This window comes from Homo sapiens, chromosome 10, assembly GCF_000001405.40.
Source record: "Homo sapiens chromosome 10, GRCh38.p14 Primary Assembly".
Taxonomy (NCBI): Eukaryota; Metazoa; Chordata; class Mammalia; order Primates; family Hominidae; genus Homo; species Homo sapiens.
In genome coordinates, this window is record NC_000010.11 from 17,136,834 (window position 1) to 17,160,115 (window position 23,282).

Below are 23,282 nucleotides of genomic sequence, written 5' to 3' on the forward strand. Positions count from 1 at the left end.
GTTTGCTGGTTTAGGTCTTTCTAATTCATGCTAGAGGCTTTCCTCAAATACCTATGGATCCTTATATGTTCATTGACATTTAAAAATAACACATTACAGAATGGATGGTAGGCTCTGTGTGCATGGGTGGCGATTATAACTGGTAGGCTTTGCCACAGAGCAACCGAATGGCAAACTGACAATTTCACTGGGGAACCCCAAATGCCCATCTTTGAAGGCATCTTGCCCTGGAGACGTTCAGAAAAAAATTCTCCAGTCTTCTACCTGGACTAGTAGAGGTGACTGGAGATTTTATACTAAGTGTACAGACTTTACTTACCCTCTTATTTTCTGTATTTTTCTCCAAATTCTTGAAGAGCATCTCATTGCCACATTAGTATATTTCACTGCTGTTTTTTATACCAATGTTCACTTTTTATTCCTACCAGCTTTATCTAAATTCCATTGTTTTAGAGGCTTAATAAGCATTTAGTGAAGACATACGAAGTCCTTGACCATGGGGGAAATTTGAAAGAAGTAAATTTATTGACCTTCTCTGATTTACAATAAAGTCGTAATGTACAAATCTGGAGAGCCAGAGTTAGGCAACATTACAAAGACAAGTGTGACAAGATGGCACAGATACACAGTAGCATGCTGTTAAGTAAACAGCAGGTACCAAACTAGGAAAGATGTCCAAGGCCCAGTATGGGCACACTATAGAAAGTGGTTCCACTGGCCGGGCTCAGTGCCTCGTACCTGTAATCCCAGCACTTTGGGAGGCCAAGGCGGGCTGATCATTTGAGGTCAGGAATTTGAGACCAGCCAAAATGGTGAAACCCTGTCTCTACTAAAAATACAAAAAAATTAGCCGGGCATGGTGGCACACACCTGTAGTCCCAGCTACTCAGGAGGCGAGGCTGAGGCAGGAGAATCGCTTGAACCCAGGAGGTGGAGGTTGCAGCAAGCCGAGAGCCACTGCACTCCAGCCTGGGTGACAGAGCGAAACTCTGCCAAAAAAAAAAGAAAAAAAAAAAAAGGTTGTTCCACTTGTCCAGCAGGGTGACCTTGAAGGAAAGTGGCTGGGTAAAGGAAGAGACATCGACAGAAGGCCTTAAGTGGCAGGTTAAAGAATGTTGATTTAATCTTTTTAATAGGGGGATGTTCTTTTATCTTGAGTGCAATAATCCTTATGTGATATTTCTGCTAGGCCAGCTGAATTTATCTGGAGGACTGGATCAATGTGGGAGTCATAAAAATGAGGAGAGGGTTGAGATGCAGAGGTGCGTTGGAGGATGGACAAATTGGCAAGATTCTCACACCCCTAATGCTAGCTCCCATTACATGTTATAGCTTCAATCTGGCTTTTGTGCTTTTTTTAGTCCCTTTTCATTTTCATATCAGTTTAAAACAGAACACTGTAGAATTAATCTGGTTTTTAGTCATTAATGGAAACATTTGTGAATATAACGATCTTTTAACCTTCATGACACTTAATTCATTCTCTTTTTCAGGGACGTAACATTGCTTAAAAGATACATTTACATATGTCAGTTTTGTGATTTTCTGCAAAATTTCAGGGCAATATAACATTGTTCCAATTCTTTCATTTTCCATGAAGGATTACATAAAATAATGATGGAAATCAAGGTACATTTAAAACTATTCTTTTGCTCATTTCATGGGAAGTGCATTACCATGTAGGAAATTACCAAGTCTACTACTGTGATGAACTGATCTTTTTGAAAGCAGTGTGGTCTTGGCTCAAGGCACATAAAGCAGACATTTGTTCTCCATGCTCATTATTACAATGACTACAATTATCTTTGAGTAGAATGAAAAAGAATTATGAGTTAATCATTAACATTTAAATTGCTGAGGTTTGGCAGAGCTTTTCCTGAGAAAGCAGATTGTTGAGAGTTTGGAGAACTTTTCCACTTTTTTCAAGTTTTTTTTTTTAAGTAATATAATCCCTTCATAAACAATGAGAAAAAAATAACGAAATTCAAATCCAGAGGGACAAACGCAATAGGGGAATAGGGCTTTGGAGGAGGAGCACAGGGGTGTTCGTGGCACATGTATACACACGTGTGCACACACAGCTTCCTAATTGTAACTCAAGCAAATGTTACAGAAAACATAAAATATGCACTGGAGGGTCTCGCATCATTATAAGGATCAGCCATAGCAGAGGAGATACTAATTGCTAGGATTAAAGGCTCCAAAAGCTAGTAAAAAAATCAACAGAGCTTTCTCTACCTCCAACAGCTCCCGGAATGGGGACTTCAGCAGCTCCATTGGATTAATCCAAGCTTGGTTTCCAAGGTGTGAAGCAATGAAGCGGAGTTTACCATAGGTGAACCCTCCTGCCATCCTGTTCCAAATCAACCTAAAAAGGACAAAATGAGTTTTCTACTTGGTGACCCCTAAAATTCCCCAAACAAGGCGGTGAAGTTAAATATTTAGACACCATTCATACGATAATCAAAGGAAAATGTCTGATTGCACTCAGACTTCAGCATGAATGACAGAAGAAATGTAGGTGGTAAATAACTGCAAACAACTTATATTGGATCTGATCTTAGGAAAAGGGGAAAGTACATCTTTGTGATGATATTTTGTGTTCTATTAGGGGAGGAGAGCAAGAGAGGTGAGGATGTCACCACCGATGGGGGGAAGAAAAAAACAGTTTGGTTCTCTTCTGGGAAGGAAAATGAAAAAAAAGAAAAAGAAAACAAAGTTTGGGGATACCTGGCACTCTTCAGACTCTGCCTCTTGTACCTTTAATTGGGAAGATAGACGCAGAAGCAGTACACACAGGCATCTTTATCTTGTGAGAGGAAGCTTTGCATTACGGATGTGATTTACGGTTAGAGGAGTGATTTAACAAGGCTGATGCCTTACAAAGGGGCATCATTCCCAGGGGATTTGTTAATTGAAGTGCCACATAGATCTGTGGGAAGATTTAAGGTGTTGTCATCAATGGCAGAAAGGATGAGATGACCTCACTTCTGTCTTTTTCAATGCCGTTATTCTAAGATCTATAAAAAACAACACCTTTGTATGCTTTCTTTATAGTGACTTGGACCATATTTGTTACGGAAGTACTGCTAAATCAAGCTTTGTCAACAATTCCTAGACTATGTTTAGAAGAGACATAAACAATACCCTAGGAGTTATACACAATTTTGGCATTAAATATTCTTCCAGTAACATCTAGTGTGCTTTTTTTTTTTTTTTTTTTTTTTTTTGAGACAGAGTCTTGCCCTGTCACCCAGGCTGGAATGATGCAATGGCACGACCTCGGCTCACTGCAACCTCCGCCTCCCAGGTTCCAGTGAGTCTCCTGCCTCAGCCTCCTGAATAGCTGAGATTACAGGCACATGCCACCACATCCAGCTATTTTTTTTTTTTTTTTGTACCTTTAGTAGAGATAGGGTTTTATCATGGCCAGGCTGGTCTTGAACTCCTGACCTCATGGTCCGTTCACTTCGACCTCCCAAAGTGCTGGGATTACAGGTGTGAGGCACCATGCCCAGCACTTCTTTTCTTTTTGGCTGACAGAATTATTCAAACAATCCCCCAAGCCATGAAAGAACCTACAATTCTATTACCATACTCAGCATACTCATATCTAAGTCAGTTAATTGGACAATTATTTATTAGGTACCCACTATCTGTCAGCATCTGAGAAAGGTACTGAGGATACACAAATGGGCAAGATGTAGCTTCTGCTCTGGAGGAAAAAAGTCAGCAGGGGAGGGGATTATATTACATAGCATCAAGATGCAAATGAGGTAGCAACTTACAAGCTTACAATGAACAGACTCTACAGTAAAGACTTGAAACTGAGTGTTTTGAAAGAAAGAACATTTTAAATGATAAAACTAATATTATGCCACATTGATGAAAACAAAAACAACAAAAAAGATCACATTCAATTGAAAAATATAAACAAGAAAAATTAAAATGCTATTACTCTAACATAACTGCTATCATTATTTTATTCCAATCTATTTTTAGATGAATAATTTCACAGTTATAATCATTAGCTATACGTTAGGTGTCTTCCTTTCATCTTTGATTATTTCACATATCAGATAAGCCTAATTCCATGTTAACTACCTGCTCGCCCTAATAATTGTAAAGAGCTGCATAGAGGTATATGTGTATCGATACATATATAGATAAAACAGAGATCTCTTGAAGGATAGTTTGGCTAGATATAGAATTCATAGTTGACAATGCCACCTCCTTCTGGTCCTCATGGTTTTGGATGAGACATCTACTGTCATCCAAATTGTGTCCCCCGCCCCATGGCAACGTGTCATTTTTCTCCAGCTGCTTTTATTTATTTATTTATTTTTTTGAGACGGAGTCTCACTCTGTCACCAGGCTGGAGTGCAGTGGCACGATCTCAGCTCACTGCAGTCTCCGCTCCTGGGTTCAAGCCATTCCCCTGCCTCAGCCTCCCGAGTAGCTGGGACTACAGGCATGCACCACCATGCCCGGCTAATTTTTTTGATTTTAGTAGAGACGGGGTTTCACCATGTTGGAAAGGATGGTCTCTATCTCCTGACCTTATGATCTGCCCCCCTTCGCCTCCTAAAGTGCTGGGATTACAGGTGTCAGCCACCGCGCCCAGCCTCCAGCTGCTTTTAAGGTTTTGCCAAATTTGGGATGTTTCCAGCCATTATTTAAATGCTCTTTCAGCTCCATTTTTTTCCCCTCTACTTCTGGCACCCCAAACATATAAATGTTGGTTCTTCTGTTATTGTCCCACAGGTCCCCAAGGCTCTGTTAATTTTTTTTGTCAGCCTATCTTTGCCCTATCATTTAGATCAGGTAAATTCTACTGATCCGTCCTTAGGTTCACTGATTTCTATCTTCTGTCATTTCCTCTCTACTACTGATCTCAAGTTTAGCAAAAGATATAAATGTACAGATTCAAGAAGGTGAATGAACACCAAACAGGATATTACATTCACTTTGAAATATCTGCCACTTTGAAAGAAATTCATGCCAAGACACATCATAATTAAATTTCTGAAAATAAAGTTAATGTAACAGACAAAATGTCCAGGATCTAATCAAATTATCTGTTACCACAGAATGTTTTCTATTTTGGTTATTTTTCAGTTACATAACTGCCATTTATTTCTATTCTTAAAAATTGGCATATAGTGCACCTACCATAATGGTTCTTTTGTTAACTTCTATTTCTTTGCTGAGCTTTTCTATTTTTTGTGGCAAGACAACTTGTAATTACCTGTTGAAGCATTTTTATGAGAGTTGCTTAAAATCCTTGTCAAGTAATTCCAACATCTGATTTGTCTCAGTGTTGTCATCTGTTGACTGTCATTTCTTATTCAAGTTGTGATTTTTCTGGTTCTTGGTATGACAGGCTATTTTACATCGTATCCTGAACCTTTTGTCTATTATTTTAATCTTTTATTTTTAGTAGGCAGTCACTCCATTTGTGTTTAGCATGCAAGCCCTGGCTTAGTTTTTGTGGGCTATGAGTCCAGTGGTAATTTAGTTTTTAAAGCCTTTGCAGTGTTATTTTGGTCTGCTTGGTTTATCTGGTGCTGCTGGGGTTCCCGAATGGTCCTTCATGATGCTACTTTAGGGAAAGAAGGATTTTCTCCCAAGCCAGGTCCCATGGTATCTCTGGGAGAAGGGAGTCTCAGGCTCAGGGTAATAAAAAATCTTCCTGGGTTAGATGCTTTTTGCCAGAGGCCCCTGGATGCTCATCTCTCAGCACAAAAGACAAGTCTCAGGTCTGGATGTTTGTCAGTGGGATTCCTGATATACCCCCGTGCTGGTAGAGCCAGACTCATCTGGTATTACCGACCAGACTTCAGTTCCCTCTTCTGTAGGAACGAGCCTCTCTGGGCTGTCTTCTATTGTGTGGTTGTAGGTCGGGAAACATCAAGCCTGGGTAACCTTCCTCTGTTGGGTGAGGGGTCAGATGTCTTGGAACCATGTTGTTCCTCTAGTCTTGGGGTCCCTCCGCAGTGTGTCTTCCTGGTCCCACCTTTCAGAATTCTCCTTCTGATTCCTCTTGCATTATTTTATAATTATACTTACCCAGAGTTTATAATTACACTTTTCAGGGAGGAGCAGGGAGAAATAAATCTACACTCTCTTGTCAAGACCAGAAGTCAGAATACAGTATTTTAAAAAGTTTTATTTGCGCTACTTTCCAAAAGCCAAAAGCCTATCCCAGAATTATTTTTTAAATCATGTGTTCCAGACTTGAGTAACTTTGGCTGTTCCTCTGGGCATGGAAGAAGTGGCAGTAACAGACAAATTAAATAGTTTTCAAGAGAACAACTTAAAGACATTGTTTGAACTCCACAGTGTGGTGCTTTCTATGTAGCTTCAATATTGATTCCAGTATGGTTCCTACATTCACTCATTCAACAACTATTTATTGAGTGCTTACTATGTGCCAGTACTGTTTTAAGTCACTGGGGGGACAACGTATTAACAATCTCTGCCCTTGTGGAAGTTTACATTCTCTAAAACATGAAACATTTTCCATTTTTAAAACTCAGATCGTAACAGCTATTCAGCTTATTGTCTACTCATTCATAGGATCAGCTCTTAAATATGAAAGTCAACTCATTTCTACTACACAAGGAGTATCACATTCCATTCAGTGTTTTCAGTCATTTTTTTCACATGTGAAATTTAACTGGACTTGTGTAAGGAACCAGCTAAGTGAGTAAAATAGCAAATATTTTAGTAAAAACGACATTCATGCTGGATTAAATTTAGAAGGCTCAAATCTGTTAAATGTTGACATGTTTAACCAAGCACACAAATATGATTGCAAATATATGTGTGGGTGTTTTTAAATCTCAGTGACTTTTTATAAGTTTTCCTAAAAATAAATGATCGTTCAGAGGCCTGCCTTAGGAAGGCCATTTTAACAGAAGCTGACCAATGGAATGCAGAGTGAGAAGGAAGGTGAAGATGATCTTTGGTTATGAAGCTTGAACTTGGAAGATGTGGAGACTAACCGTACCATAAATATTAAAGTCAAGAGTGGAACTGACTATAGAATGGAGTGTGCTTAGGTTGCAAGCATGCTAAATTTGATGCAAATCCGATACAACTTGAATAGCAAGATATCCAAGTTAAAAATGTCCCAGCATGAAGATTCTAGAATAGGACTTAGGAAAACAGCAGATTTAGAGTCATCTGGGTGTCATCGGCAAAATGGCTGAAGTTGTAGGAAAGGGTGAGAATCTCTAAGAAAAATGGCATGAAAAGTGAAGGGTAGAAAGAGACCTGAGGACGGAACCTTCAGATAAGTCAGCTCCAAGCCTCTGCTCTTCTTTTTCTCTTTCTCTCTTTCACTCTCATCCTCTGACCCTCTAGGTGATCTCATCTGATTATAGAGCTAATTTAGCTAAACAAACATGTTCTCTATGTACACTCTTATAATTTCAATCTGTCCTGATAAAAATAGAAATCAAAATGCAAACAAAATACAGAGCAAATATTTGAAGTAAACACTGAAGCCATGCTAGGTACAAGCAAAGAAATGAAAAAACCCTAGGCTTATTCAGAAAAGAGTTCTATGGGAGAACTCAGTTCCTATCTTGTAATTTTTGTGAAAATTTCCGGTCTCATATTTATAGGAAAAATGAGATTTTGGAAGCTTTAGGAGTCAAGTGTGGTGTACTTGAGGGAGACTTCAGTAAGTGCTGGATGTGGCTGAAAGTAAGACTCAGAATCTATGGTAAATATAAAGCCAATGTATATGAGAACTTGGGGAATACAAAGCCAAAACAGCTCATTGTACATGCTCATATTTCTTGAACAAATATATTTAAAAAGAAATAAATTCACAAGCTAAGACATGAATGGTGATGGAGTTTGGATCTTGATTGTGTAAGATTTTGAAGAGCATGAGTACCTTAAAATGTTCCTAGACAGCCTAAAGAGAGAAACGGAAGCTAGAAACAACAACAACAAAAAATACTTTTTCTTTTTTTTTTTAAACTGAAGCTTTAAAATTTCACCAGCAAAGACAAGAAATAGTGAAAGGGAAAATGATGCACACAGGTTGACTCATGCAAACTGAAACTAAAGAACATGTGCAAGATGCTTAATGCCTTTTTAAAAAACATGCAAAGGGAGGCTGGGCGTGGTGGCTCATGCCTGTAAAACCCAGCACTTAGGGAAGCCAAGGTGGGTGGATTAACTTGAGGTCAGGTGTTCGAGACCAGCCTGGCCAACATGGTGAAACCCGATCTCTACTAATACAAAAATTAGCTAGGTGTGGTGGCATGCGCCTGTAATCCCAGCTACTAGGGAGGCTGAGGCAGGAAAATCACTTTAACCCAGGAGGGGGAGATTGCAGTGAGCCGAGATCACGCCACTGCACTCCAGCCTAGGCAACAGAGCGAGACTCAGTCTCAAAAACAAAACAAAACAAAACAAAACAAAACAAAAAAAACAGCAAAGGGAAACTCTCAAATGAAAGGCATAACTAGACATCTTGGTGGGTGTGACAGAGGTCCAGAAAAGTGCTTGCTAAGAAGCTGATATGATAGTTGTATATAGCACATTTGAATGGTAGATGGAAGAGATTAACTAGTAGACAGAGGTCCAAAGGCCATGTCTTTAAAAATTATATAATCTCAATGCAATCACAGGCTACAAGAAAACTGCTGAGGCTATATGACCCTCACACAGTTTCAAAGTCCAAAGCTATTAGTAAGTCAGTGTCATAACTGGTGGCCTAAAACAGTTAGAATCCCAAGCCGAAGGCCAAATTATGACAAGGTAACCTGTTCATAACATAAGCAATTCAGGAAAACCCACTTTAATCTCTTTGTCTATGTGGGATTAAAATTTGGTCCTTATTGTGTTATCTTGGCTTTTTTAGAAACCGCTTGTTTCTAAACTCTTAAGTTATCAAAGCAAAAGAGCAACCAGAGTGACTTTGGTTTGGATGCAGATGCAGCTGGCCTGCAGAATGCATCCTTTAGTAGGTGCTTGATATTAGATGAAATGTGGTTGCTTCTTTGTTCTGTTCTGCTATGGCTAAAATTAAATCAGTTGTATTTATCTTTAGTTCATTTCTCTCTCCTCAGAAGTCTCCAGCTTAATCACTCTAGACCTCAACTAGGTTGAGATGGGAGCAAAAACCCAGATGGTGATTTCTGCTGAGAACTTCCACCCCTACCAATGCGTTGAATTGCCTGCACTCATCTCTAACCCCATCCAATTTTACATCCCACATGGTAGCAATACAGCCTTTCAGGGCAACTTAAAAGCCTCTCTACTAAATAACTTTACCTCTTTGAAAAGTTGGATAATTTCAAGCAACAGTTTACCCTCAAATTTCTAAAAAAGTGCTGGGTGGACCCTCACTGTTCACAATTTCAACTACTGTTTTTGCCTCTTTAGAAGGCTCTCCTTTTTGAGGAAGAATAAGTTGGCTGAAGGTTGGAGGTATTTTCTCATCTTTCCAGACATAGGGCAGTGCCCATGGTGAAGGTCTGATTTCACAGACAGAACACCATGGCCAGGGTCCTCTGTGAAGGTGATGCCATCATTCCTCTTTCTTGCCTGCCACTGAGGATTGTCAGGCTCTGACCCCTCCTACAATGACTACCCACCTCTTCGAAATCATTTTCCAACTATGACTCATTTTGTTTACATTAATTGATTTGGTCATCTCTTAGAATTAGTTTTGGATCCTGAAGACATACTAAAAATATGAAGCAGGGTAATAAATACCTTACAATTATCTGGCAAGCCGTTTAAAAGAGCAGGGATGATGGGAAAAGGAGAACGAAAAATCGGTTTACTGTAAGGTATGGTGAAGACTGAATTACACATAGTTCTCCTGAAAATGAGAAGCTATGTTTTCCAACATCTGAATAAATGTACAAGTCCAAATATCAGGAAACAGAATTTCCAGTGCAAATTTTATATACAGCATTATTACCAAAAGCATATAGCAGACATTCCATAAAATAACATTTTCCAAATTAATTATGCATACATATACATCTGCTAATTGAATGACACTGGTAGATACATCTTCATTAAGATGTGAGTTTTATGCTTGTTACTGCATATTTTCAATTATGAATTAAGGGCAAGAATCACCGTCTTCCTGTGAATACATTCCCATAATTTAAGAATTCCACTAAGCTACATTCTGTCTACCAGTTTGTAAGCAAATGTCTCTACAGACCTTTCAAGTATTTATAGTTGGTGCACAGTAACTCGACACTTATTTTGTATAATGTTGCTCAACCGAATGTGGGATACTATAATTATAGCATAATTATTCATAGTTACAGTAAAACTCTAAACCATTTTATTTAGAATATTTCAGCAGTGAACAGAACCTACATGAAAGTGTGCCAAAATAATTTGTGATTGTTTACTGAAATTTATGAGACTTGTAATAGGCTCTGTCTGAACACATATGAAAAATGTAGATAGTGATAGTTTCTGTATATGGGCTGGCTTACAGCTTCCCTACATTCATATTTATCTATGAGTTCTGAAAAATTGGTAATAGAGTATGATTTTTTCAATTGCAGTAAAATATACATAATGTAAAATTTATCATTTTAACTATTTTTAAATATACAGTTGCAGTGGCATTAAGTACACTCACACTGTTGTGCAACCATCCTCCCCATCCACCTCCAGAACTTTCTCATCACCCCAATCAGAAACTTTGTATCCATTATGCACTAACTACCCATTCTCCATCCCCACAGGGTGGCTTATTTCACTTCGCATAATGTACTCAAGGTTCATCCATGTCACCGCATATGTCAGAATTTCCTTCCTGCGGAAGGCTGGTACTATTCCACTGCATGCACGGAACACAATTCCTGCATCCATTCATGGGTGAATGGGATGACACTTGGGCTGCTTCTACCTTTTGGCTACTGTAAATAATGGTGTTATAAACGCTGGTGTACAAATATCTGTTCAAGTCCCTGCTTTCAATTCTTTTGGATCTATAGCCAGAGGTGGAATCGCTGAATCATAGGGTAATTCTATGTTGAATTTTGTGACGAACCTCCATAGCGTTTTCCAACAGCAGCTGAACCATTTTACGTTCCCACAAGCAATGCACAAACTTCCAATTTATCCACCTCTAAATAGCTGATTTTTAAGAAGAAAAATTTGAATTAAAATCTTGTAATATGATTTCTGGACTTGTTTCTTTTCATCTCTCTTCTCTTTGTCACTTGCTTTTATCACAAACCATAGAATTTATGATGCAAGACTTAGTTTGATTAGAAACCCTAATTCCAAGAGGTCTGCTGAGGAAGAGAGACAGAGAAAGTTAAAAGTCATAAAAGTTCATTGAGAGTGTATGTTGCTACAATAAAGAACAACTGGGGGGAGGGGAGTACTGTCATATGACATGGGATCAGAGGGCAGCTTCCTCCCTGAAATCTTAACGTCATGCTACATTCCTCAGCGTGCAAAGGCAAATTCAACTCAGAAGCTGAGAAGACAAAAACAAGCTTTGATAATAGTCAACTAAAGGAAAGTACATACAAAATGAAGAAGGAAAAATGAGTTTTGTCCTTCAGATAGAGGCTGAGGAAAATGTAGATAATGTGCACCAACAGTTTCTGTGGCCGCTTCATGGAGAGGTAATCAAACATTTAGGATTATTTTTCCTGACATATTCTTCAGTCTGCTGTATAAACTGAATGATGATAATTTGGTTTACATATCATATGCATTTGTTTAGATGAAATAAAGAAATATTTACAGGATTGGAAATTAAGTAAAACATTCAATGGGCTAGAATTAGAATCATTATTTTAAAATTAGAAATAAAAAACTTCTTTAATTAACATAAAAATATGTTATGCCTGTTATGACACTTCACAAGATACTCATGTAGACACTAAAGCTCTAGTGCTCCTTGATTTGTTTATAAAATTGTTTTTAAAAAGAATATTCCACATATATATTTATCAGTTTCATATGAAAATATACTCTCCATAAAGCATAACAATAGTTCGTATTTTATAAAATACAGTAATATAAATTTGATGAAACACATGGATTTTTTTAATAAAATCCAAATTTCTTAATAAGGACAGATTAAAATAATTTAGTTAAATTTCACCAGAATTAGTTCAAAACAGAATTTCAGAATTACTCTCTGAAAATGAAGGAATATCATATGACCATCTTTCAGAGTTATTTCAAAATTATTCATATAAGATTTTGATTAGTTTAGCTACTACATGCACGTTGAGACTATTTCCAAGTAGGCGATAACGCTGTTTCACTGTTATCTTCTCAGGAAATCCTAAAAAGACAAAGAACAATTTAAAGAAATCATTTGTAATCACAATTTCCAGAGATGAAAGGATGTATCCTTTAGTAAGGGCACAGCGGTCATTTCATAAGTAAATCACTAAGGTCTCCATGAAGTTTTATTAACAAAAGAGAATTTGGAGCCAAAAATATTCTATAACATTATATTGCCTACACAGTGAGATAGTAACACATCACATTATGTGTTATGCTCAGCACACACACATGTACACATATAATATCCACAGAACTCAGAGAAATGCATGTATTAGTGCACTTTTTAAAAAAGCTGTGGCTGCTATTATTTCACAGTTCTTTCTTTGATTTAATAATCCTTTTATGGATATAATTTGCATAGCATAAAAATCACCCATTTAAAGTGTACAATTAAGAGGTTGTTAGTATAGTCACTGAGTTTTTCAAATATCTCCATTATCTAATTCCAGAATATTTTCATTTCTTCAAAAAAAAATTTCGTACCTATTAGCAGTCACTCCCTACTACCTCCCGGCCCCCAACCATTAATCTACTTTCTGTTTCTAGGAGTGTCTACTGGATTATATTTCATATAAATGGAGCCATAAAATATGTTGTCTTTTGTGTCTGGTTTCTTTCACTAAACATGTTTTAAACATTCATTCATGTCATAGCATGTATTAATACTTCATTCCTTGTTGGTGGTGAATAATATTCTATTGTATGGATTTATCACATTTTATTTTTCCATTCATTCGTTCATAGACATTTGGATTGTATCTACTTTTTTGGCTGTTGAGAATAATGCTGTTATGAACATTCATGTATGTTTTTGTATAGATACGTATTTTCAATTCTCTTGGATATATACATAGGGGTGAAACTGCTGGGTCACACACTAACTCTATGTTTAATGTTTGAGGAACCATTAGACTGTTTTTCAAAGCAGCTGCACCATTTCACATTCACACACCCAAAAGTGTATGAGGGTTCCAATATCTCCACATCTTCATCAATACTGTTATTGCTTGTCTTTTCTATTTTAGCCATCCTAATGAGTATGAAGTAATATCACATTGTGATTTGATTTACATTTCCCTAATAACTAACTAACATATTTTTAATGTGCTTATTGGCCATTTATCTATTCCTTTTGGAGAAATGTTGACTCAAATCCTTGCCCATTTTAAAATTGGATTTCTCTTTTTTTAATTGTTGAATGGTAAGAGTCCTTTACCTATTCTGGATACAAGTACCCCACGGGTGTTTTTACACTCTGCTTCCACAAATTGCCTTTCTCATATTGGACTTCCATTTGCTACATTCCTTTCTTAAAACAAAAAGGCCCATGGATCCCTTATATGCTGGAAGAAGGCCTTGCAAATATCAGCATAAAAGACTGTCCACGTACAAGCGTGTGCACTATAATGTTAGTTATAATGGCAGGATTCCACATTCAGCATACTCTAGCATAGCAAGGAAATAAAGGAAAAATAAGTTAGATAAGAAAATGAAAAACAATTAGGAGCATTAAGAATAGCAAAATTTCATATACTCATGAGGACAGGAAGGTAGAATTAGTTACAATAAAGTTGCTTCATTGACACTTGACATTTTATTAACTGCAATAAAATAACAGCAATTACTGTTGCAATTAAACATGATCATAAAGTTTCTATTCTAAAGATAATATCTTAGGTAAGCACATTATTTATCTAAAATTATTTACTTCAAAGTAGCCAGAGGTACAAATGTACCTACAAACAGGCTTTTAGACTATCCCAGAGATGATCTTTTGCAATATTACAATTACCTCAGAAGGAAAGAAAGGTTTGAAAACAAATAAGTAAGATTCGTACAAATTATATCTATGTGTGTGTGCATGTGTGTGTGTGTGCGTGCATCTGTGCATATTTCTTTAAATCTAAATTATTAGGTTGGTGCAAAAGCATTGCAGTTTTTGCCACTGAAAGTAAAGCATCTGTGCATATTTCTTTAAATCTAAACTATTAGGTTGGCACAAAAGTAATTGAAGTTTTTGCCACTGAAAGTGATGGCAAATTACTTTTCTACCAATCTAACAATTTGTGAAAAAAATGACATAATTTTTTAAGTTAAAAGACAACTTTTAAAAAACTTAGATACATTAAAAATAACAATAATAATCCTCAAAAACAAAGAAACATGGGATGAACAAGGTCAAGATATCAGCTTTCACCCGTAAGGACAGGTTAGTGTTTTTCTTCAAAAGCCCGCTACCGCAGAATACACACCACCAGTCACAGAACCAGGACAGAGGGTTTGGAAGGATCAATGCAGATCCATCATTGCCAGTAGACAAACAGCTCAAACAATGCCCATTTTTGGACCCAGGGTCAATAATGTTGGAAACACACATGAGGGACAGTTGTGTCACGGTGCTGCTCAGTGGTGACATCAGGGTAAGCTCAACTCCAAAAACATATCACGTATTTTAGAAGGAGGTTCAGTAATTTCAAAGGCTGTTTTTCTAAGTATTATACATATATATTCAAAGAGCTTTGAAAAATTCTATTTCACCAACTTAAAATTTTAAAAAATGAGAAAAATATTTATGAAATAAAGATTATAAAAGTAAATACATGGCTCATTCTAAAAATGAAAGCTAAAACAAATTTTACATTATGTCTCAGATATTAGATAAGAATTTCATAAACATTGACTCATTTAACTATCACAATAACTCTATGAAGCAGGAGTTATGATCATCCTCATTTTACAGAGAAGTAAACTAAAGAAGGGAACGGTTAAGGTGGGGCTGGGATATGAAATCATTCAGTCTGACTCTGGGCTCTGTGCTCCTTACCAAGGTTCAGTATTACCAAAGTGACTACTGCCCTTTGAAAACAAAAAAGCACTGAAGAAAAGCTGAGGAATTCATTTTAATTGAATAGTTAATCTCTTTTCTGTCTTCAAGAGTATGTCTGATTGCTCATCTGAAAAAAGGAAAAAAAAATAGTAGCTAGGAAAGCAGACTAGGAATGAGAATTCTTAAGTCTAATTCTCAGCTCTTCTATTTGTTTTGTAATGCTGTCACTCGTTTTGTGACATAAACTACAAGGAAAGTTTGTGTTTTTCTTAAACAACACTCCCCAGGATATTTGGGACAAAAATGAGATCACCAAGAAAGAGGCAGGGAGTACAAAATAAAACTGGTTGCTGCGACTACACTCAGAGAATCAATTACCAAGAGAGTAGTCAAATTATATTGGCAGTTTGTTCCCTATGTACAAAATGGTTGTGTTCCAAAACCTCAGCTTAAATCCATTATTTAGAATTTGAAACACGATCTATTAAACCCATTATTTATTTGAGGGATAGTGCCATATTAATATTACAAAAGTATTGGACTTAACAAAGTTTGACTTTTCTGCATTCAAACTCTCAAGAGTCCTCAAAAGCACATTTCCTCCTTCTCTAGCCAGGGAAGCATTCGAGGGACGTGAGTCTTCCTCCCAGCCCATCAGCCAGGTACTGGGAGCATGCCCACCCCAGGCCTAAGAAACCCACAGCCTCCTCAGAGCTGAGAGCACTGGCCCCGGTAGTGGGATCAGGGAGATGGGCTGGGGCATCTCTGAGAAGGCCAAAGCAGTGTGTCCAATCTCTTCAGAGCACCAATCCCTGGACTTCTTGGACTGCCAATGGAATTAGGCCTTTGACTTTCTCACTCTACAACTAAATCTTCCCATTTGTTCTTGAGATTCCTTGCTGTAGATCCCCAATCTTTCATTAACTCTGTGTCAATTCATCTCCTGTGTCAATTTCATCTTCTGAGTCCCCCTTTCATTCCATTATGAAAGCTCCTTCCTAGACAGCCTCTCCACCTCCTCTTTCTCCACCTACCCCTTGTAGGGAAGGATAGGGGCACACAGCTGACACAGGTGTATCTCTGAGGAGAATAAATACCAATACACCCCCACCCTTCGAAAATAATCCCTCAACTGCCTTTTAATTTATAAAAAGCCAATCGAAAGCATTCTTTCACAAGCTCTAGTGTGGGGTGATTAGGAGAGGACCTCTGGAAAAGAAAATAAGCTGGAAAGGGGATGCTATGCACAGCCATCTGTGGAAAGAGGCAAGGAGTTGCCAATGTGACCCTTCTAGCCATGCCAACCTCTGTGACCCACTACTGGAGTTAGAGAGGGGGAGAATGAGTCAGTAGAGAACCGAATGAGGCAGTTATGAGGGGAAAGAGGGCAGAAAGATGCCATAAATGGCATGATCAGGAAAGGAAAGAGGTTTCTTGAGCCCATTTGTTTAGGCAAGTCCTAGACACACAAGTCCCTAAAGATTTTTGAGAGTTTTAATACATGAAAGCTGAATTCTGCACGTATCCCACATACCGAACTCTGGAGGAAATCCAAGGAGATTTGCTATTTCTTTAGGAGTGAAATATCGCAGTTTAAGTATTAACAGCTTTGTTATCTGTTCTTCTTGTGACAAATTGGTAAGGGATTTGTAGATATTCTCAACCTGTAAGAAAATACCCAAGATAACTAAAAAAGTAATGTGCAACTAGATTTAAGATCTCCTGCTGTGAGATAGTTGAAACTCGATGGACATACAGTCTGCTGTAACACACAGTGGCAAAGTGCACAGGGCAAAATGGCTCTGTGCAATAGACTACATATTGGCTCAATAAGGGCAATGTAAACTTTGAAAAGAAAAAAAGGTTAACATTCAACAGATCAGGATATTTTTCAGGGTGTCTGTCATTTTTGAGCCCTTAAAATCATAAGAGTATAAACAATAAATGACAATATAAAAGAAATATAGTGAAAAATGCAAAAGAAGCTTGACAAAACAACAAAGTCAATTTTACAATAAAACAGGAGAATCATTAAAACTTTTATTTTTATACTCAGGTTCATCAAGATACTTCCTTAAAATGATTAAATATATTAAGCAAATATAATTTCTCAAATCCAGATATTCAATTGCCTATAACAGAATTTTTACCATGGGTAAATTTTATCAGTAGTTAAAAGTTTGAATCAGTATAAAAGATAATGTGATCTCACTTTAAAAGTATTCAAAAAAATATAAAACTTGCTATATATTAGACTTGTATTCAACCATGACACCATGAAGAGTTAACAACTGAAGTATTCATAAAGCACATTGTTAAGATTATTTTTTTCCTTAAAAGGAAGTTTTATAGTGTGTGCTGCAAAGGAGGGCTCCAATATTAAGATGTTTGTACAACATTTTAGAGAACATTAACTATTGTAGGCTGAGTTTCAACTACTATTTATGGAATAAAAGAAAAGCAGAAGGTAAAAATAAGAAAAAGAAAAACATAAAACATTCCTTGTGCATATACTCATGTAGAGCAACAAGAAAAAGATTTATTCCACAGTAATAAAATATTATATATATGAATATACATATGAATGAATAAAATATATATTCATGGCCAGTTGAATGCATAAAATTATTCTAATGTTCTCAAAGTATTAAACAATTTTAGTTAAAAGTTTTAAAGTGTTTTAGCTTTAAAACATGCATAGTACCTGCACATCCTCTGCAGTCTGTAACACAGACCCTGTCCCTTCTATGTAGCTTCCATATCTGAAAAATCAACACAACAATTATGCAGCACCTGATGTATGTGTTAATGCTAAATTTCTTAAATATTTATTGAATGAATTAATCAATCTACACAGTTACATCCTTCTGAAATATCTTGAATAATGTCACATAAATATCCTTTGTAGGTAAAAAATTACTAGGTAAAAGACATAATATAGTTTCATTTAAACGTCTCATCAATGGGCCGGGCACAGTGGCTAATGTCTATAATCCCAGCACTTTGGGAGGCCCAGGCGGGTGGATCACCTGAGGTCAGAGGAGTTCGAGGTCAGCCTGGCCAACATGGTGAAATCCTGTCTCTACTAAAAATATTTAAAAAATGAGCCAGGCGTGGTGGTGCGTGCCTACCTCAGGAGGCTGAGGTAGGAGAATCTCTTGAACCTGGGAGGCGGAGGTTGCAGTGAGCCAAGATCACGCCACTGCACTCCAGCCTGGGCAACAGAGTGAGACTCCATCTCAAAAAAATGATAATAAATAATAAATGTCTCAGAAATGAAACATGGCACAGTTTTTTGAGTTGAGTAAACACCACTGAATGATGAAATATAAATTGTCATTTCTTTTTATTAATTGTCTTGTCTTGAATGTTCATCACTGGAAAGGATGCACTTTATATTCAAATATAATTCAATATTGGCTCCCTTGCCACATTAACCTAAATGTTGTACAGGTGAAAAGAAATTGCTGCCATTTTTATCAGGCCTGAACCATCATTTCCTCTCAGGAACCCACCGCCCTGCTCTCTAACACCACAGCAAACACAGTGCCACTGATCCTATGTCTGCTTGTCATTTAACACAGTATGATTTTATGATCACTTTCATACAACAATCAGACCATTATATAAAAAACTCCATAGAAAGTATAAAACACTTCAGAAATGCAAGTCATTAGCAGTATTTCTCTCTCTAAGATTATTGCCAAGCTGGCTGTTCAACATATTAGCATTATTTCTTTTTCACAAAGAAAACAGTTTAAAATAAGAATTAGAGGGAAAAAGTCAAACCAGGAAAAAAATAATTTTTTTCAAACTGTCTTTTTCATATATATTACACATATAAATACGTGTGTATATACACACAGTATCTATACCAAAATAAATTTTACCATCAGGCTCCTTTTATGCCATCTTTATAATTAGAAAAGAATTTCAAGGTTGTTTTTTATTACAAAATTGCTAAGTCTTATTTTATGAGAGTCCTAAACAGAACCTATTGAACTTGGTAATTGACAACAGCCCAGTGAAGTCTTTCAAGATAATGGAAAGCAATAAACTCTTTCCCCTGAAGTACAAGGGCAGAGTATAATAAATTCAGAATGACTCTGGTATGGTTCTACTGGGGTACAGTGTATCATACAAGATATTAATAGCTAGCTAGAAGGTAAGAACAGAAAGCCTGAATTGACAAATCATACAACTACCTACCAAATGAGGTTGAGTAGCATTCAGAAAGCACAGACAGAGATCCTTGGCAAAATTTTTCTTTTTTTTTTTTTGAGACAGAGTCTCACTCTGTCGCCCAGGCTGGAGTGCAGGGATATGATCTCGGCTCACTGCAACCTCTGCCCCCCAGATTCAAGCGATTCTCCTGCCTCAGTCTCCCAAGTAGCTGGGAATGCAGGCACCCACCACCATGCCTGGTCAATTTTTGTAGTCTTCGTACAGACAGGGTTTCACCATGTTGGCCAGGCTAGTCTCAAACTCCTGACCTCAGGTGATCTACCTGCCTCAGCCTCCCAAAGTGTTGGGATTACAGGCATGAGCCAGCGTGCCCGGCCAAAATTTTTCTTAAAAAGGTCTAATTTTCCCCTTTCTAGGTTTAAAAAAATTAGTGAGAACTGTATTAAATGTTCAAGTAATAACCCAAAGGAAGCCCTCTAAATGTTCATGAATAGGTAACCAGTAAAGTAAATTATATAATATACCTACACCATGAAAACAGAAAGTCCTTTAAGTACTGATATGCGATAATATTCTATTTATATTGTGCAGTGAAAAAAGGGGCATATATATAATATCCTGCCATTTACTTATAAAGGGGGATAAAATATACATGGATACTTAAATACACTTTCAGATACAATACCTCTGGAAGATTATACAGTAAACTGATATCATTGGTCACATGTGGGGAGAAGAACTGAATGGTCAAGAGACAGAAATGGAAGGGAGTCTTACAATCTTAGTTATCTTTTGAATTGGAAACCTTGGGCATATATTACTTATATAAAAACCTGAATAAAATTTAAATTTAAAAGTTACCCTAGTATTCTCCAGATGACTCAATATTACATCTTTAGTTTAAAATTTAATTTCTTATTATACATTGATCATAAGAGTGAACACTTGAGGTATGATGTGCCACAGAAGTGCTAAAGAATTAGCAAGTAATAGTCTACAGAAACCATGTCTCCACTACGGGTATTTAAGCTCCTATGAAGGTCACCAAACAAATGACATTGTCTTTTATGAGCACTTTTGTGGGTGGTGCACATAATGTTCTGCCAAACGGAATTTTTACTTGTGTTCTACTGGAACATGAAGTAGGCAATTAAGGGAAAATACCTCATTCTAGCAAAAACATTTTATAAAATGCTCCTTGTTTTTAGAAGAACTTAAAGAAACAATAGCTTTAAAAAACCTGGTTATTTTGGATACAGGATCAATAGATCTTTAAAACCTACCCTTTGGTAAAGCACACGGACCTTCTACAAGTGGGCTGAACAATGTCTAACAGAAGAGCATATCGCAGCAATGACTTTGGTGGTAAAAGATACTGGTTCACGTCAGTGTCATCTTCAAGAAAATCTTTTAGCATTTTCACAGAGAGATCACTATCTTGTTGATTTTTCCTGTGAATTTCTTCTGCAGTTTCAAGCTTAAAAAGAATGGCATCTTTTCCAGAACACTGTATGCTGCCATCAAAGCTAATATTTGGTTCAACGTTCTTTTCTTGAATTTTATTTTCTACATCCATTGCATATTTTTGTGGATGTACAGATTCAATTTTGGGGAACTCCATCAGTACCTGGCATTACATAAAAATACACAAATTGTCAAAAGTTGCATTAAAAATAAGAGAAATTAACAATGTCCAGTCAACATTACGAAAACAACCTCATTAGCCTTTATGGGGTTGCCATTAAAAGATAGAAATTGTGGTTTACTTGTATTTGTACAAGTTATTACACGTTATTAATCATATAGCTATATTGTCATCAGGCTGCAGATGATTTATTTCATGGATTAGTGTTTACAGTATTTATTAATAAAAACATTCAATAAACTAACAGAAAGTATATACTGAATATAGATAAATCATATTTGTATCTTATTTGGAAAAGAAGTTTAGAAAGCAACACTAACATTTCCAGAAAACATGTTTTGAATCAAGTTTTGCCATACTCCTTCATTAAAAAGGAAAAACCAAAACATAGCTATGATCTAAAGGAAAACTAGCAATTAAAAAAAGAAAAGCGGTTTTCACTGTGAAAGGTTATTTCTACTCATGAGTCCTATGGGAAAAACTTGTTTCTGCAAAACATACAACCATGTATAAAGTCCTATTTTGTAAAAGGAAAACCATTCCAGGAATTTTTAATGATGAAGTCCTTGAAGTCAATGTATAAAGTTACTGTTAACTTAATACAATGTGTAAGGTATATTAACTTTACATTGGAATTGGCTACTATGGAAAGGGAGCAATATTAGTATCATATTATAAAGGGATTGAGGTGACACTACCAATCCCTTATTAGTAGACATGACTTTTGTGTCCTTACCTATGAAAGTTAGGGAGAGTTTCGCCGAAATGCTGAAACTCAGTTATCCATCCCCGTTTTTTGACCTAAGCATGTAAAACTGCTCACATAATTAGAGATTCTTTCTGTAGCAATTAAGCATTTTATTCTAGCTTGTACTAATCATTACTATATTTTAATCAATTAAGCTAAATAGCATTGGCTTTAAAGAAAATGCAACCCATGTATTAAAATATTTGTAAGCCACTTTTAAGATAAAATATTATCAAAAGTAACCAATGGCTTCTATGGGAAGGATAAAATGATAAATGCAAAATAGTCAACGGTCAAAAGGGAAATTATGGGGGAAGGAGGAAGATAACAATACTAATGATAAGTTTTTTAACTCATTTGTTTTCTAATGAGAAAAAGAAACATTGTTTTGTTTTGTTTTTGTTTTGTTTTAAAACAATAAAAGTGGCAAGATGAAAACAGCCTTGAAGATGGACCTAGGGCATGGTCTATACTTTAGATTCTATAGTACACAGAGACAGCTACACAAAGTAGTTCTTGAAAATAAATTAGCAGACTAATATATATTTATAATAAATAAGCCATAATATTCATAATAAAATTCCAATAATAATACCTGACCAGGGGCTTGAAAGGGTAATGGCTCTGACTGAAGCTTTGCAATAAGAAAATATCGTAGCCTTGAATTTGGAATGCCAAGCTGTAAGCAAAGCAAAGCAGTTAGTTACTCTAAAAAATTAAAGAGAGCGGTACCAACTTTAGCACCAAGTTAAACAGCAACAACAAAAAACTCAAACGAGCCTACATTTAGCTTCTACCACAGCAAAATTTGCTACGGATTTGTAGAAGACTCCATTGTAGTACATTTTAAACTATTAAGTTGCTACTTTGTACTTTTATTTGAATGAGTTAAAGATTGAAACTGACAAATATATCTACAAGTCACTTCCATTTTATATTTCCCAGCTAAGACGTAGTATAGATATTTTTACATTCATTATTGATAATATATTAATAATTTAAAAATTCAAATATAGCTATTCTTGGCTATTTATTACCTCATTTTGTTAAAAAAGGATGATACACTATGTTTTACAAGCTAAAAGGCAATAAATATGAAATAAATTTTAAGAGATCAAATATGTTGCCAATTTCCACAGCTTGTATCTTGAATTTTTGAAATGGGTTTTCTATTAATTTCTGGGCAAAGAACAATATAATATGGCTAAAGATGACAAGAAACTAACAAGAACAATAACAAAAAGCTGACAGCAACACTTGCAAAATTCAAATCTGTCAAATAACTTGTCTTATCATGATCAATTACTTAAATTTCTTATCCATGAAATGGAAGCAGTGTTTTCAACTTAATGTTATGTCCCCAAAGCAGTAACTAGAAAGTTACTACATGTTTATATTGTTTTCTATTTTGGATTATTTTGAAACATTAACATTATTAATTATTAACATTATTAACACCAAGTTTGGAAATACCAAACTTGACGTATTTTCAAAATATGCTATCCTTTGCTCTCTAAAAGAGAAATATAGTCTCTCTTTCAAGCTATATAATTGTTTTTCATAAA

General features: G+C 36.2%; 1 protein-coding gene across 17 annotated transcripts in view; it reads right to left on the bottom strand.

The window, feature by feature from the left end:
- Positions 1-502: 502 nt before the first annotated feature.
- The window catches only part of TRDMT1 (tRNA aspartic acid methyltransferase 1), a 64,337-nt gene continuing 41,557 nt past the window's right edge, over positions 503-23,282 (bottom strand). For 5 of the 17 annotated variants that reach the window (XM_017015801.2, XM_047424694.1, XM_047424693.1 and 2 more), the window contains 5 exons: positions 22,313-22,396; positions 20,608-20,951; positions 17,844-17,901; positions 16,674-16,803; positions 13,888-15,266 (listed from right to left, as the gene is read on the bottom strand). In XM_017015801.2, the coding sequence (XP_016871290.1) occupies positions 15,208-15,266; positions 16,674-16,803; positions 17,844-17,901; positions 20,608-20,951; positions 22,313-22,396 (675 nt within the window). In that variant the 3' untranslated portion in view covers positions 13,888-15,207. Of the gene's footprint in view, positions 12,308-13,887; positions 15,267-16,673; positions 16,804-17,843; positions 17,902-20,607; positions 20,952-22,312; positions 22,397-23,282 lie in introns of those variants that run through there. The other 12 variants (XM_047424696.1, XM_024447855.2, NM_001351223.2 and 9 more) reach the window with 4 other exon arrangements.